At 54.9% G+C, this 13,370-nt stretch overlaps 1 protein-coding gene across 10 annotated transcripts in view, besides 4 other annotated features; it reads right to left on the bottom strand.

The window, feature by feature from the left end:
- The window catches only part of TBC1D14 (TBC1 domain family member 14), a 123,649-nt gene extending 118,771 nt beyond the window's left edge, over positions 1–4,878 (bottom strand). For 6 of the 10 annotated variants that reach the window (XM_011513507.4, NM_020773.3, XM_005247986.4 and 3 more), the window contains exon 1: positions 4,393–4,518. The gene's annotated coding sequence lies outside the window, so the exon portion shown is untranslated. Of the gene's footprint in view, positions 1–3,742; positions 4,095–4,392; positions 4,519–4,838 lie in introns of those variants that run through there. The other 4 variants (XM_011513508.2, NM_001113361.2, XM_017008477.2 and 1 more) reach the window with 2 other exon arrangements.
- Positions 3,782–3,851: an enhancer, noted in NCBI's record as "active region_21263". NCBI's record gives its function as "activates an Ori minimal core promoter by ATAC-STARR-seq in GM12878 lymphoblastoid cells {active_cell/tissue: GM12878}" and the evidence as "EXISTENCE:reporter gene assay evidence [ECO:0000049][PMID:35858748]".
- Positions 4,092–5,151: a silencer, noted in NCBI's record as "silent region_15240". NCBI's record gives its function as "represses an Ori minimal core promoter by ATAC-STARR-seq in GM12878 lymphoblastoid cells {active_cell/tissue: GM12878}" and the evidence as "EXISTENCE:reporter gene assay evidence [ECO:0000049][PMID:35858748]".
- Positions 12,146–12,372: a silencer, noted in NCBI's record as "fragment chr4:6903699-6903925 (GRCh37/hg19 assembly coordinates)". NCBI's record gives its function as "represses an EF-1alpha promoter that drives an FKBP-Casp9 reporter gene in an ReSE screen in HepG2 liver carcinoma cells {active_cell/tissue: HepG2}" and the evidence as "EXISTENCE:reporter gene assay evidence [ECO:0000049][PMID:32094911]".
- Positions 12,428–13,076: an enhancer, noted in NCBI's record as "H3K4me1 hESC enhancer chr4:6902995-6903643 (GRCh37/hg19 assembly coordinates)". NCBI's record gives its function as "activates a minimal SCP1, AML or CMV promoter by ChIP-STARR-seq in primed H9 embryonic stem cells {active_cell/tissue: H9 hESC(primed)}" and the evidence as "EXISTENCE:reporter gene assay evidence [ECO:0000049][PMID:30033119]".

Raw genomic sequence — 13,370 nt, 5'->3', positions numbered from 1 at the left:
GTGAGTGGCAACTTTCAGACACCTGGAACTTAACACAATGCTGTTTAAGTAAGTTTCAGCCCATGTATGTTTCGGCAAACCAGGCAGAAACTGCGGTTATTGTTCAGGGTCCTCAAAGGCTCCTTCACAACCCGAAGAAGCGGACACTTAACTTATACTGACCACTGGTTATGATTAAAGGCACAGGTGGAACTTTTTTTTTTTTTTTGAGATGGGGTCTCTGTCACCCAGGCTGCAGTACAGATGTATGATCTTGGTTCACTGCAACCTCCACCTCCCAGGCTCAAGTGAGCCTCCCACCTCAGCATCCTGAGTAGCTGGGACCACAGGTGCCCGCCACCACGTCCACCCAGCTAATTTTTTGTTGTTGTTGTTGTTGTTTTGGTAGGGTTTCACCATGTTGCCCAGGCTGGTCTTGAACTCCTGAGCTCAAGTGATCCACCCTCCTCAACCTCCCAAACTGCTGGGATTAGAGGCATGAGCCACAGCGCCTGGCCAGGACATTTTAAATTAAAGACTTTCAATGCAAAATGTTTCAGCTTCACTTAGTGATTTGGTAAATTACTAATTAACTAATTTTCCTAAGTAGCTGTGAAGTGACTGGGAGGCAAATGATACATTAGGAAGATATTTAGACTACTTAAAACCGGTATAGTTTATAATCTTAATTATTCATAAGAGAAATAATTTACTGAGCATTTAGCATGCACCAAGCATGCGGGATGCCATCACATGCTCTAATAATCACAAGCCTGCCAAGGGCACTGAGGAAACTATGAGATTCAGAGAGGCTAAGTCACGCACCCAAGGTCACACAGCAACAGAAACTGAGTTCAAACCAGATCTGACATCAAAGCTCATACATGGCCTGCTGGCGTACTTATGAATGCAGTCCCTAAACTTTATCCCCCTTCCTCTCAGCTCCCTTAATGTTGCCCAAAAGGTATATTCACCCAATAACCCTGATCATCGATAAGCTGAACACTTAACCATTCTTACACTTCTATGTATGTTTGTTAGGCTGCAAATGAAGTTTTAAAAATAAAATAGGCCAGGCGTGGTGGCTCACGCCTGTAATCCCAGCACTTTGGGAGGCCCAGGCAGGTGGATCACCTGAAGTCAGGGGTTCAAAACCAGCCTGGCCAATATAGCAAAACCCTGTCTCCACTAAAAATACAAAATTAGCCAGGCATGGTGGCACATGCCTGTAATCCCAGCTACTGGAGAGGCTGAGGCAGGAGAATCGCTTGAACCTGGGAGACAAAGGTTGCAGTGAGCCGAGATCTCACACCATTGCACTCCAGCCTGGGCAACAAGAGCGAAACGCTGTCTCAAAAAATAGAATAGAATAGAACAGAACAAAACAAAAAACAAAACAAAATCAACAGGAGGGAAAAAATAATGCAGGTTCCAGCAGCAGGCTGCCTGGGTTCAAGTCCCAGCTCCTTCGCTCACCAGCTGTGTAAGCTTGGACTCATTTCTTAACTTCCCCGAGCCTTGGTTTCCTTGCAGCAAAATGAAGACAGTAAGAGACCCTATCTTGTTAGGCAGTTGACAAGATTAGGGGAAGAAATCCACATAAAGCCCTTAAAATCGTGCCTGGCACAGGGAAAGCCCTGGAAAATGTTGGCTGGTGTTACTCTTTCCTGGACACGGATCGGGCCAGCCAACTCAGTCCCACTATTTTAGCAACCAGTTGCATAAGCAAGGCCAGACACAGCCAGTCTGTGTCTACAAGGCCACAATGTACAGCTTCTTCCTGTCACCAGTCTCTCTCCTCACACCTGCCGTGTGATACTGATGGAGCTCTGGGCCTCAACTTCCCCATCTATAAAACCAAGTGACTAGCCAAGCAGATCAGTCCCTGAGAGCCTTCCAGATGGACAATCAAGAATTCTAAACCACCCGGGCCCAAGAAAATTTATTTTTTATTTTTTTATTTTTTTTATTTTATTTTTATTTTTTGAGACGGAGTCTAGCTCTGTCACCAGGATGGAGTGCAGTGGTGAGATCTCGGCTCACTGCAACCTCCACCTCCCGGGTTCAAGCGATTCTCCTGCCTCGGCCTCCCAAGTAGCTGGCACGCACCACCACAACCAGCTAATTTTTGTATTTTTAGTATAGACAGGGTTTCACCATGTTGGCCAGGATGGTCTCAATCTCCTGACCTTGTGATCCACCCACCTCAGCCTCCCAAAGTGCTGGGTTTACAGGCATGAGCCACTGCGCCCAGCTGAAACTTTATTTATACGTGGTCCTAAAACAAATGTTAAGCTGGCCATGGTGGTGCGTTCCTGTAACTGCAGCTACTCGGGAGAATCGCTTGAGCCGAGGAGTTCAGATCCAGTCTGGACAATATACCATGACCCCATCTCTAAAAAAAAATTTTTTTAAAGTTAACAAACACATACTCACTTTCCTAAAATCCTGTTGCGTTATGTATTAATGTTTATACTGACAACAAATCTTTTCCAAGGTCTCAAAGACTCCCCAAGCAACCCCCGACCTGCACGGCAGGCATCCCCTGTGCTGAGGCTGGGACTCAAGGTTAGAAGCTCTGACCAACGGGAGAGAGAGATTCAAACAAGCTGCTCTGACTAGCTGTGTCCCCACTTTGAGAGAGGCCTTCTATAGCGCACCAGCTAAGCAATCAACCCAGAGTAGAGGAGGGAAGGTGGAGGCATGAAAGACAGGAATTCACCCACTAAACGGGGAGTGGGGTGGAGACAGCGGACCCAATGCAGAGGAACTGCAGGGGCTAAAGGAACACAGGGGAACAGCAGAAGCCAGGAGAGGCAAAGCCCAAGCTGAATGTGAGAGGGTAGGCTGGGGGCAGACGGTGAAAACTCAGTTGCACAAACAGGAATCAGGCCCAGCTCGGTGCAAAGTGCTGGAACAGCGGAGGATACCGAGGTGAGCAGAGCCTGGCCCAGTAGCCTGCCTCAGTTTGAATCCCATCTCTGACTCTCCCCATGTGGGTGGCTCCCAGCCAGTTACTCTGTCTCCCTTAGTACCAGCTGACACCCTTGATGTTTCCCAAAAGGTGTTTTCGCCCAATGACCCTGAGCACCAAGTTCATGCCAGGCTCTCATTAGGACTGGGGATCTCATTAGGATTGCGGAGCCCACAATCTCAAGGGGTCAAACACACAGCAAAGAAGCAGTAAGAGGGTTGGTCGGAGGGGGGAAGCCATACCCAAACTGAGATATGGGTTGGTACTGGCCAGATAAACTGGGCAACAGGAAGTGTTCTAAGACTGCTGTAAGGACTAGCCCGGTCCAGACAAAGCAACCACCAGTTTCCAACAGGCAACCCACCGCTATAAAAGCTAGGCAAGACAGCAACTAGGTGCCAACATCCTACAATACTGGGGACAAGACAGTGAGCATTTTGTCCCCAAGACACCACCACGACTACCCTCCTCATCTAGCCTCAGTGCGTGAAATAACCAAGGTGATGCCCAGGGACCTCCAGTAGGGGCAAAACGCACCGGTGCCTATAAAACCTTCCCAAGCAAAGCTTCCAATTCCACGCTAGAGAAAACGGCGTCCTATGCAACTTTAGGACAGAAACGACTTCACGTGGCCTGGTCAGGCGCGGTCACCCCGGGGCTCGCAGAGGCTGGCTCTGGAGTCCACAGGGTCATTCTCCTATCCTCCTGACCAGCTGTTCCCATCAGGACCGCAACCCACAGCCTAGAGAGACTCCTGGCGGGAGGGAGACCAGGAGTCCCCGGACTTACTCCTCAAGGCAGCTACCCCGGCCCCGAGACAGTCCCCGGGCCAGGGTCTTCGCGGCCCGGTAATGGGAGGCTCCAAGGCGGAGGCAGAGAGATTCCCTAGCCCAGGGACAGACGGTTCGCGTGGGTGGAGGTCCAAGGAGGTCAGGGCTCCGAGATGAAAGGGGGTTTCGCGGGTCAGGGGCTCCAGGGGTAGAGGGGTCAGAGATGAAAGCGGGGTCAGGGGCTCCAAGGAGGAGGGTCCGCTGCCTGGGGACTGAGGGTCCGAGGTGGAAGGGGGCTCCGGGGTCGGGGTCTGGCGCACCGAGGCGCCTCTTCTCAGGCCGGGAGCCTCGCGTCGGAGTAGGAAAACTTTTCGTCAAGTTCCGTAAAGGAGCGGGACACAGCGCGCGCCTCCGCGAGGGCCGCCGAGTCCCGAGAGTCGCCCCCGCCCCGGAGGCCCCGTAACGGCACCCCGGGCGCCACGCACGCGCTGCCCTGGCGTGCAGGAGCCGCGGCCGCGCGGCGAGGGACACCCAGCAGGACCCGCGCCCGGCGACCTGCCTCGCCCCGGCCGCTCCCCGCCTCGGCCGGCGCTGCAGCAGGTGGCGGCCCCGCGCGCCCTGCCCTCCCTCGCGGCCCGCGGCCCGGCCCTCGCGGGAGGCTCTCAGTACCGGAGTTAGCGCGGCTCCGACGCCATCCCCGGGACCCGTGGGCCCGCAGCCCAGGCCCCGCGGGACCGGCAACTCGCGCGACGAGGACGCCGGGCACGCGGTAGGCAGCGGGTCCGACCCGCAGGTGCGCGCGAGCAGCCCGCGGCGAACAGCGGCGCGCACCCTCGCTTCGCCCCGCCCCCTCGCCCGCCCCCTGGGCACGCCCCCACGCACTTGCGCCCCGCCCCCTGCCGGCCCGCGCCCGTTCTTCCGCCCGTGCCGCCGCGTCTGGAGCTCGGCGCTCGCCCGGCTGTCCCTCTTCCGGGGGCCGCCCGCCGCGGGCCTCCGGAGCGGCGTCGCCGGCCCTTTTTTTTTGCCGGAGAACCAACCGGAGTGGCGAGGAGCTGCCTTGAGCGGGCCTTTGTGCCCGCAGGGCCCCCACGGACATCCGACAGGGGGCCCCTTACCTGGTCGGCTCCACCCGCAGCCATCTTGGAAGTGGGAAGCGGCCGGGAGGGGGAAGGGGCTCGAGCGGGCAGGGCTCAGGCGTAGGGAGCCGAGCGGCGGAGCGCATCGATGGGGCTCCCCTGCCCCGGCCGGTGTGCGGGAGACGGCCCGGGCCCCGCCGCGGAAGGGAAGCTTTGCGTGACACCGGAGCTCAGGCCCCGCCGCGGTGGTCTTGGGAGCGGCGCCGTGGCGTCCTCCCAGCCAGCCTCAGTCTCTTAATCTATAAAGGGCTTTTCCGAACGTTCTCTCTTATCGCGCTGTGACACGGTGCCTGGCGCTGTAGTTCCCAAACTGGTCTGCACTTTAGTATTGCCTGCGGAGCTTTTAATATTCTGAAGCCCAGGCCGATTAAGTCACAGTCTCTGAAGATGAGATGGAAGCATCATCAGTTTGGGAAGCTGTGTAATGTGCACGCGGGTTTGGAAGCCACTGGCCTGGCGTTATCTGCATATTTGGCCTCAACATTGCACAAACTCCAGAGACGGGATCTATGATCAGAGCCATTGTACAAAGCGGGAAACGGGCTCAGAGATGAAGCCCTCCGCCCAAGGACCCGGGTGGGTCAGTAGCTGAGAGGGGCAGAAGCCAGGTTCCCTGCCCCAGAGCCCTCCATGAGCTGGTAGAGAGTATGTGAGGAGCCCCTGTTGACGGGCAGTGGGTCTCCATTCCCCTTCTAGGCTGTGGGTTCCATGAGGAAAGCCGGGCTTATCTTGTTTACTGCTATTTTCCCTGGGCCTGGCAAATAGTTGGTATTTGACGTTATTGGGTTGTCGTTAGACTCTGGGGACTTGAGGGCAAGAGGAGAGACCCAGCGCTGGGAGCCAGAAGTCCTGGATTTCCACTTGGCTTTGGCTCCTGCCAACCAGGAGCCCTGAGGGTTGTCACTGGCAGATAAATTACCAGAGAGGAAACCCGGGAGAGACTGACTGCAGCCCAATCTAAGGGAAGACTCAGCCACTCAGAAAGGTCAGGGGCAGGAGGAGTTTCCGCATTACAGGAAGCATCTGGAAGCATGAAATGGAAGATTTGTCTCTACTGCGGTCGTTAGGGATGGGCTAGGGAACCCCGAACTTGGGTCTCCTCTCCAGCTCATGGCTGTAAAAACCCTGAGCATCTATGAGATATGACGCAGAAGCAAGAGAGATTTTTAAAGGCGATCTCTTGAAAGCAAAAACATTAACATCCCTCGCAGTGCTGCATCACAGAAACTTTATAAATGCTTAAATTTCTGGGGGTTTTAAGTAAAAATAATACGAGGCCTCCTTCATACCTCTTAAAACAAGGCCTCCCCAGCTTTTTCTAAGTAAACCCTAGTGGAAAAGTACAGACTGCTTCAGTCGTGACTTAATTAGCAATTTAATGCGTTGGATTAATAGATCTGCTTGGGGCTCCCAAATCCCTTCCAGCCCTAATTCCGAGTCTTAGGGTCTAAAACCCTACAATGACAAGGAACCATTGTTCTGTATCCAGAACCGAAGTCTGTGGTCCTGCAGATTTGCACCTGGCGCCCTCTGCCTGCCTTTTCCTCACTCGCCATCCTGCTGCGCCCACTCCGTCTCTCCCGGAGCCTGTCGTCACCTGCATCCGCAGCGTGATTTGACCCACGCCTTACCTGTTGCCCTCAGCGCCCAGACGTGTTCTAGACAAATCTTCATTGCAACTTGAGTCTGACAAAATTAGCACGGCGAGCAGGATTTAGCCGTGTGGCTGTGTGCGGTCACTTCACCTTTCGGCACCTCCCTCACCCCCATCTCTGATGTGCAGATAATCCCGGGATCAGGGCGGTCAGCCCTGGATCTCAGCTCTGCTGGTCCTGAGGCGTAGACCCCCATCATAACTGGCTAGATGAAGCCATCTCATTCCCCATGCAGACTCTACCTGAGGTTTCCAGAAGGATTATCTCCCCGCAGTAAAGCCATCGCTTAGTGTGGACAAGATCCAGGCCTCTTAGCTCCCTCTCATCAGTTCCAGGCAAAGGACCTACGCATGGGAGCCGCTGGGCTGGCTAACTCCTCAGGTCTCCCGGAAGGCTTCCCTGCTCCTCCCCAACCTTCCCACCTGTACAAGAAACATGGCGTCTCCACCTCCCAAGTTGAGTTGTAGTGAGGATTAAACAAGTCTAAATGAAATGAAAGTTCCTAGCATGGTTGGAGAACTCTTGGCACGCCCCCCTTCTCCTCGGACACCCCATTGAGGGACCTTTTCCAGCCTGACCTCGGAGCCTTCCGAAGCTTGCTAGGCAGGAAGGAGCCAGCTCAGCTTGCAGTTGGGGAGGGGAGTGCCTTTCCCAGGGTGTTCAGTGTCCATGGAAGCCAGCCCTGAGCACCCGCTCGTTGCCCGCTCGGGCTGGGTGCTAGGGACCCCAGGGTGACCCACAGCCCACAACTCCTGCTCTTTCAGGGCTTCCAGGACGGACAGAGGTGGCATCTTGAAAATGCAGCCTTGGCCCTGCACCGTGGCTCATGCCTGTAATCCCAGCACTTTGGGAGGCCAGGGTGGGCAGATGTCTTGAGTCCAGGAGTTCAAGACCAGCCTGGGTGACATGGCAAAGCCGCCTGTCTACAAAAAAATACAAAAATTAGCCGGGCTTGGTGGCACACACCTGTAGTTGCAGCTACTTGGGAGGCTGAGGCAGGAGGATCGCTTGAGCTGGGGAGGCAGAGGTTGCAGGGAGCCAAGATCACACCACTGCACTCCAGCTTGGGTGACAGAGCGAGACCCTGTCTCAAAAAAAAAAAAAAAAGAAAAGAAAAGAAAAATGCAGCCTTGTTCCCCTGCAAGGAAAATGGTTATCTGACCAGATGCACGCCCCAGGAGAGTCATCAGCAGGCGTGAGAGCTGGCAGGACCCTTGGCATCAAGTCCCCTCTGACTATTCAGAGGGAGAACTGAGGCCACAGAGAGGTGTGAGGAATGGCCCAAGCTCAGGGGGGTGGGAGGTGCACACACAGTGAAGCCAGGGGCTTCCTGCCCTGCCGAGCACCCCCGCATCTCAGGAGATATGGGGATCTATCTAGTTTCCCCAACACGCATTTTGCCCCAGCCTTTTCTCAGCCCCTAGATGTGAGCTCCATTGTGGAGGGTGCATGAATTTTGCTGGTACCTGTGTCTCTACCTGGAACCATCCCAGGTGCCCTGGGCTGTGCTGGCTGATTCACCTCTATTACCACAGTTGATCCACACAAGCTGCCAAGCTGGCACCTGGACTCTCATTTTCCAGGCAAGGACACAGGCACCAGGTGGTGAGGCCACTCAGCCCAGGGCTCCCAGCTCTGCCCCCCGCGTCCAGAAGCTGCTGCCCAGTCTCCATCCTCCCTCCCAATCCCCTTGCCCCAGCTCAGAGCCACCAAGGGCAACAGCATGAATAAAACTAACAGCAGCTGTGATGCCACACAAGGAGCTCAACTGGGCAATGGGCCCATCCCTATGGGTTAGGGGCAGCTTGAGAAGCATTAATTTCTTTCAAAAGAGCTTCCCTTTGGCCCAAAGACTGTCAGCAGTCCATGAAGAAGCAGATCCTTTCTGCCTCCATAACTTGGAGTGTCATCTCCTTCACCATGGAGACAGGACTTCTCATTTTTAGGACACAATGCCTGGAATTGAGGTTTCTCTTGTTGGTTCTGGAAATTGAGCAGTATGAGGAAAAAAACAAAGGCAGGAATAGCCCAGATGGCTGCAGATCAGCAACCTCAGGCACACAGAAGGCAGCAAGAGACACCGAAATGGAAAAGTGCCAAATAGCCAGCGGAGCCTCCGAGAACCTCTGCACTTGGCGGCAAGCAGCAGCACTCAGGCCCGCACGCCAGAGCCCAGCCGCTGGCATCTCACGGTTAACAAAGGCACTTACCTGTGTCCTAGCTTGCAGTCCATTCAGAGCAGCAAATTCAGGGAGGCAGAACTCCTAGTAGCCGCGCATTCACCAAAGGGTAAAGGTATGGGTGCAGCCAAAGGTGGCACTAACGAAAACTTTCTAACACACAGAATCCCTTTGGTCTCATGACACAACCGAAGGGAGCCATCCTTTTATAAAATGACCCCCAAGTTGAGGCAGACTGTCATCAAAAAATGTTCACCACAGTTTTACCATTCATAAAGTGGCAGCAGTCACATGTTACAAAGGTAACATAGACATAATGTACACGTCCAGCAATGAGGGACGGGAATGGAGTAACTCAAAAGGAGCCATCAGAAAAATCTTTAAAGAATTGGGCTGGGCGCGGTGGCTCACGCCTGTAATCCCAGCACTTTGGGAAGCTGAGGCGGGCGGATCACGAGGTCAGGAGATCAAGACCATCCTGGCTAACACGGTGAAACCCCGCTTTTACTAAAAACACACAAAAAAATAGCCAACGTGGTGGCGGCCGCCTGTAGTCCCAGTCCCAGCTACTAGGGAGGCTGAGGCAGGAGAATGGCATGATCCTAGGAGGCAGAGCCTGCAGTGAGCCGAGATCGCACCACTGCACTCCAGCCTGGGTGACAGAGTGAGACTCCACCTCAAAAAAAAAAAAAAGAAAAAAAAGAATTGACAGCACAGAGGAAATGTGGAAGCTCCCCAAGTGTAATCAAAGTATGTGAATGCACTCCATTCACAGCAATCAAAGAAGATGGGAAGAAACACCAACATGGGCATCCCAGCTCAGGCAAGTATCTGCTGCCTGCGGGCTTTTTCTGTTGTTGTTTTTGAGACAGGGTCTGGCTCTGTCGCCCAGGCTGGAGTGTGGTGGCACAATCACAGCTCATTGCAGCCTTGAACTCCAGGGCTCACACAATCCTCCCACCTCAGCCTCGCCAGTGGCTGAGACTACAGAGGCACACCACCATGCCTGGTTAATCTTTTATTTTTTGTAGAGATCGGGCCTCCCTTTGTTGCCCAGGCTGGTCTCAGACTCCTGAGCCAAAGCAATTCTCCCACCTCGGCCTCCCAGAGTCCTGGGATTACAGGCGTGAGCCACCGTGCCTGGCCTAGGGAATGTTTTTTAAGCTCCTTTTCAGAGATGAGAAAACTGAAACTCAGAGAGGTTGTTTGCCCCACTCATAGGCCGCAGATCAGGAAGCTCTAAAGCTCCAACTCAAGATATGCATAACATGTGGAAATGAATGACTGAAAGGAAATGTACACATATTTCAGTGGTTACCTCTAGAAAGCAGTATTACAAGTACAACGTATTTTCTTCTTTGGACACATCTGAATTTGCCATTTTTGTTATTGTTGTTTTTGAGACAGGGTCTTGCTCTGTCGCCCGGGCTGGAGTGCAGTGCTCACTGCAACCTCTGCCTCCCAGACTCAAGTGATCCTCCCACCTCAGCCTCCCAAGTAGCTGGGACTACAGGTATGCCCCACCACACCTGGCTAATTATTTTTTTTTTTCAGATGGAGTCTTACTCTGTCACCCAGGCTGGATTTCAATGGTGCAATCTCAGCTCACTGCAACCTCCGCTCTCCCAGGTTCAAGCGATTCTCCTGCCTCAGCCTCCCAAGTAGGTGGGATTACAGACGCCTGGCTAATTTTTATATTTTTAGTAGAGACAGGGTTTCGCCATGCTGACCAGGCTGGTCTTGAACTCCTGACTTCAGGTGATCCACCTGCTTCGGCCTCCCAAAGTATTTGGATAACAGGCGTGAGCCACCGAGCCAGGCCTATTTTTTGTGGGTTTTTTTTTTTTTTTTTTGGTAGAGACAGGGTTTTGCTATGTTGCTCAGGCTAACTTCAAACTCCTGAGCTTAAGTGATCCACCCACCTTGGCCTCCCAAAGTGCTAGGATTACAGGCAATAGTCACTGCGGCTGGCCTGCTTATATTTTTTGACTTTTAAATTTGCTCGCAACAAACATATGCTGTATTTATGCTATATGCTGCGCTCACTGATGGGTAAACAGCAGGCCTAGAGAAGCACAGGAACCTGGGGCCATCAGGCAAGGGTTCCCAGCCGTCTCCCCAAGGCCGAGAGAAGCAAGACAAGTACGGCTTCCATTTTATGAATGGGAAAACTCAAGCTCCAGGAGGTTAAGGAATCAACACCAGGCCAAACAATCTTTGCCATTACTGGGAGCGAGGCTAGTAGAGTTGTGTGTCTGCTGGGCTGTGTGACCTGCCCTCTTCCACAGCATCTCAGCCCCAATGCCTCCATTGTACTGGGGGCACTTGAATCCAGGTAGATCTGGCTCAAAACCTAAGGTCACTCATTCCCACAGCATCCCAAGTAATTGATTGGAAGAAATCAGGGTTTGTTTGTTTTGTTTTTATGAGACAGAGTTTCGCTCTTGTTGCCCAGGCTGGAGTGCAGTGGTGCGATCTCGGCTCATCGCAACCTGTGCCACCTCCCAGGTTCAAGTGAGTCTCCTACCTCAGCCTCCCGAGTAGCTGGGATTATAGGCATTCGACATCACGCCCGGCTAATTTTGTATTTTTAGTAGAGACTGGGTTTCTCCATGTTGGTCAGGCTGGTCTCGAACTCCCGACCTCAGGTGATCCGCCCGCCTCCACCTCCCAAAGCGCTGGGATTACAGGCGTGAGCCACCGTGCCTGGCCAGAAAGAAGTTGTAATGAAACAACGGGTCCTCCAAGGACTGGAGCCCATGGCCTGAGGTTGGGGGAGGAGACTTGGGGGATCCCGAGTGGCCCTGGCTCAGTGATTCCTAAGAGGCCCAGTGCTGGAGGCCATGAGGCTCTAGGTGCTAAGAAAACAGAAAGCGCTTGGGGACGGGGCTCCAGGTGACAGCACACCAAAGTGGAATTTTCCAAATAGCCTTATCTTTAAAGGCGTCACCCAGCTGCCTGCTGCCACCACCATCACAAAGAAAAGCCCGATTTAGAAGCAGGCAGGAGTCAGGGCTCACGTGGAGCTGCGTGGGGGCTGAAGAGAAGAGGCGGGCAGGGGATGCAGGCCCAGCTCCTTCCCACTCCCGTGGGTCCTCTGCGGGAACCCCCGCCCCGCCACACGTGAGGTCCCTTGTCACCAGGCCTGAGGTCTCCCCAGGCCCACAGAACCACCCGGGCATCCCCAGAAGTTCCCGAAACTCTCTGGAATCCCTGCCTTTGCACCCACTGTGCCCTGACCTGCACCCCCAGCGCGACCCCCATCCTCCTCTCATCCCTACTTCCTTCGGTGCTTGGCCGGTTCCCCCAGGTGCTCTGACCCTCAGGAAATCATTCCTGACTCTCATCCGCCTCCCCACCCCCCGGCTGCCCCTGGGCTCCCGCAGCCCCTCCCCGCGTTCTTGAATGCCTTCGTGTTCCTGGACCCTGGCACCCAGCCCAGGGCCCCCACAGGAGGGAACAGCAGCCAAGGCTTGCTGAGCCCCGCACGGTGTGTGCGTCCGCTCTCTTCACCTTCACACCCGCAGGGACAGAAAGGACACTTAGGCTCACACACGGAAACCTCCCTGCCCGCAGCCCCACGGCGGCCTGTCCTTCCTCCCCACTGCAGCTGGCTGTTCTCAGATCTCATGGAAACACTCTTGGGTGCCTTCTTGCCTGTCTCCCTCCAGAGCCGCTGCCCTTCCTCTTCAGGGCGGGAGCGGGCCTCAGCTTCCCCATCCCTGCCCCAGGGGCTTCACTGGAGCCCCAGGCCCGGGGACCTCCTTCTCAGCCACGACCACCTGCCAGGAGACGCCCCCGCAGCTGCCCATCTGCCCACAGATGTTCTAAGCCTCCCCCGTGCCAGGCATTGTGCACAGAGTGGTTGCAGGGTAGGATCTGTTCTTGTTTTAATGGTGGTGGGAGGGGACGTAAAGGGGAGGGGATGCCTGAGATGGGCCTGGAAGGGTGAGGGTGAGTTGGCCAGAGAGGAGCAAGGCAGGGGCCACCCAGTGTCCCAGGAGGAGGGACCTCATATTTCTGGGGCAGGCTGGGGCGACACAGTAGACAGAAACACATCCACCTCCAATGCCGCTTCATTTCTACCCACCAAGGCCACCAAGATGCTCTGTGGGGCCATCAGCCCCGATCCTTCCTGTACCTCCTCCCAAACCTGGCTCCAGCCTAAACTTGCAACCCCATCCTTCACTCTCCCACCCCGTCTGATGTGCAGTTTCTAAGCACACCAGTCTTGGATGCACCAGTCCAAGCTTCCCCTGTCCTGTTCCCCTGCCCGGACCTCCCTCTTACCTTCTCCGGCCATCACAACCGTGCTCCTGCCACGTACCTCCCCACCCCTCCCCTGACTGCCCATGCCTGGCAGAGCCTGGCTACTCCCTCCAGAGGGGCCTCCAAGGCCCCTCTGTGGCTGGAGGCAGCAGCAGAGTTCAGGGCTCCCAGCCCCGCGCCGCACAGCCGGGGAAGGTCTTGGTAGTAAATGTCTGCTGAATGACCAGTCCTCCTCCTCCCACACAACAGGGAGCGGGTGGGACTGCCTTTGAACTCCAAAACTGGCCAAGAGATTTGCCAAGGAGCACACCATGAAGGGTGCCGTCTGGAGGTGTGGGTGGGGCCGGGGCCTGGCCCTGTGGTCTCCAGTCTTTTCCGTGAGTGTCCCTCTCCCAGCCCTTAGACAT

The sequence above is a fragment of the Homo sapiens genome, chromosome 4 (assembly GCF_000001405.40).
Source record: "Homo sapiens chromosome 4, GRCh38.p14 Primary Assembly".
Lineage (NCBI taxonomy): Eukaryota > Metazoa > Chordata > Mammalia > Primates > Hominidae > Homo > Homo sapiens.
The sequence above is the reverse complement of the archived record's forward strand: the minus strand, read 5'-3'. Positions and strand labels throughout refer to the sequence as shown.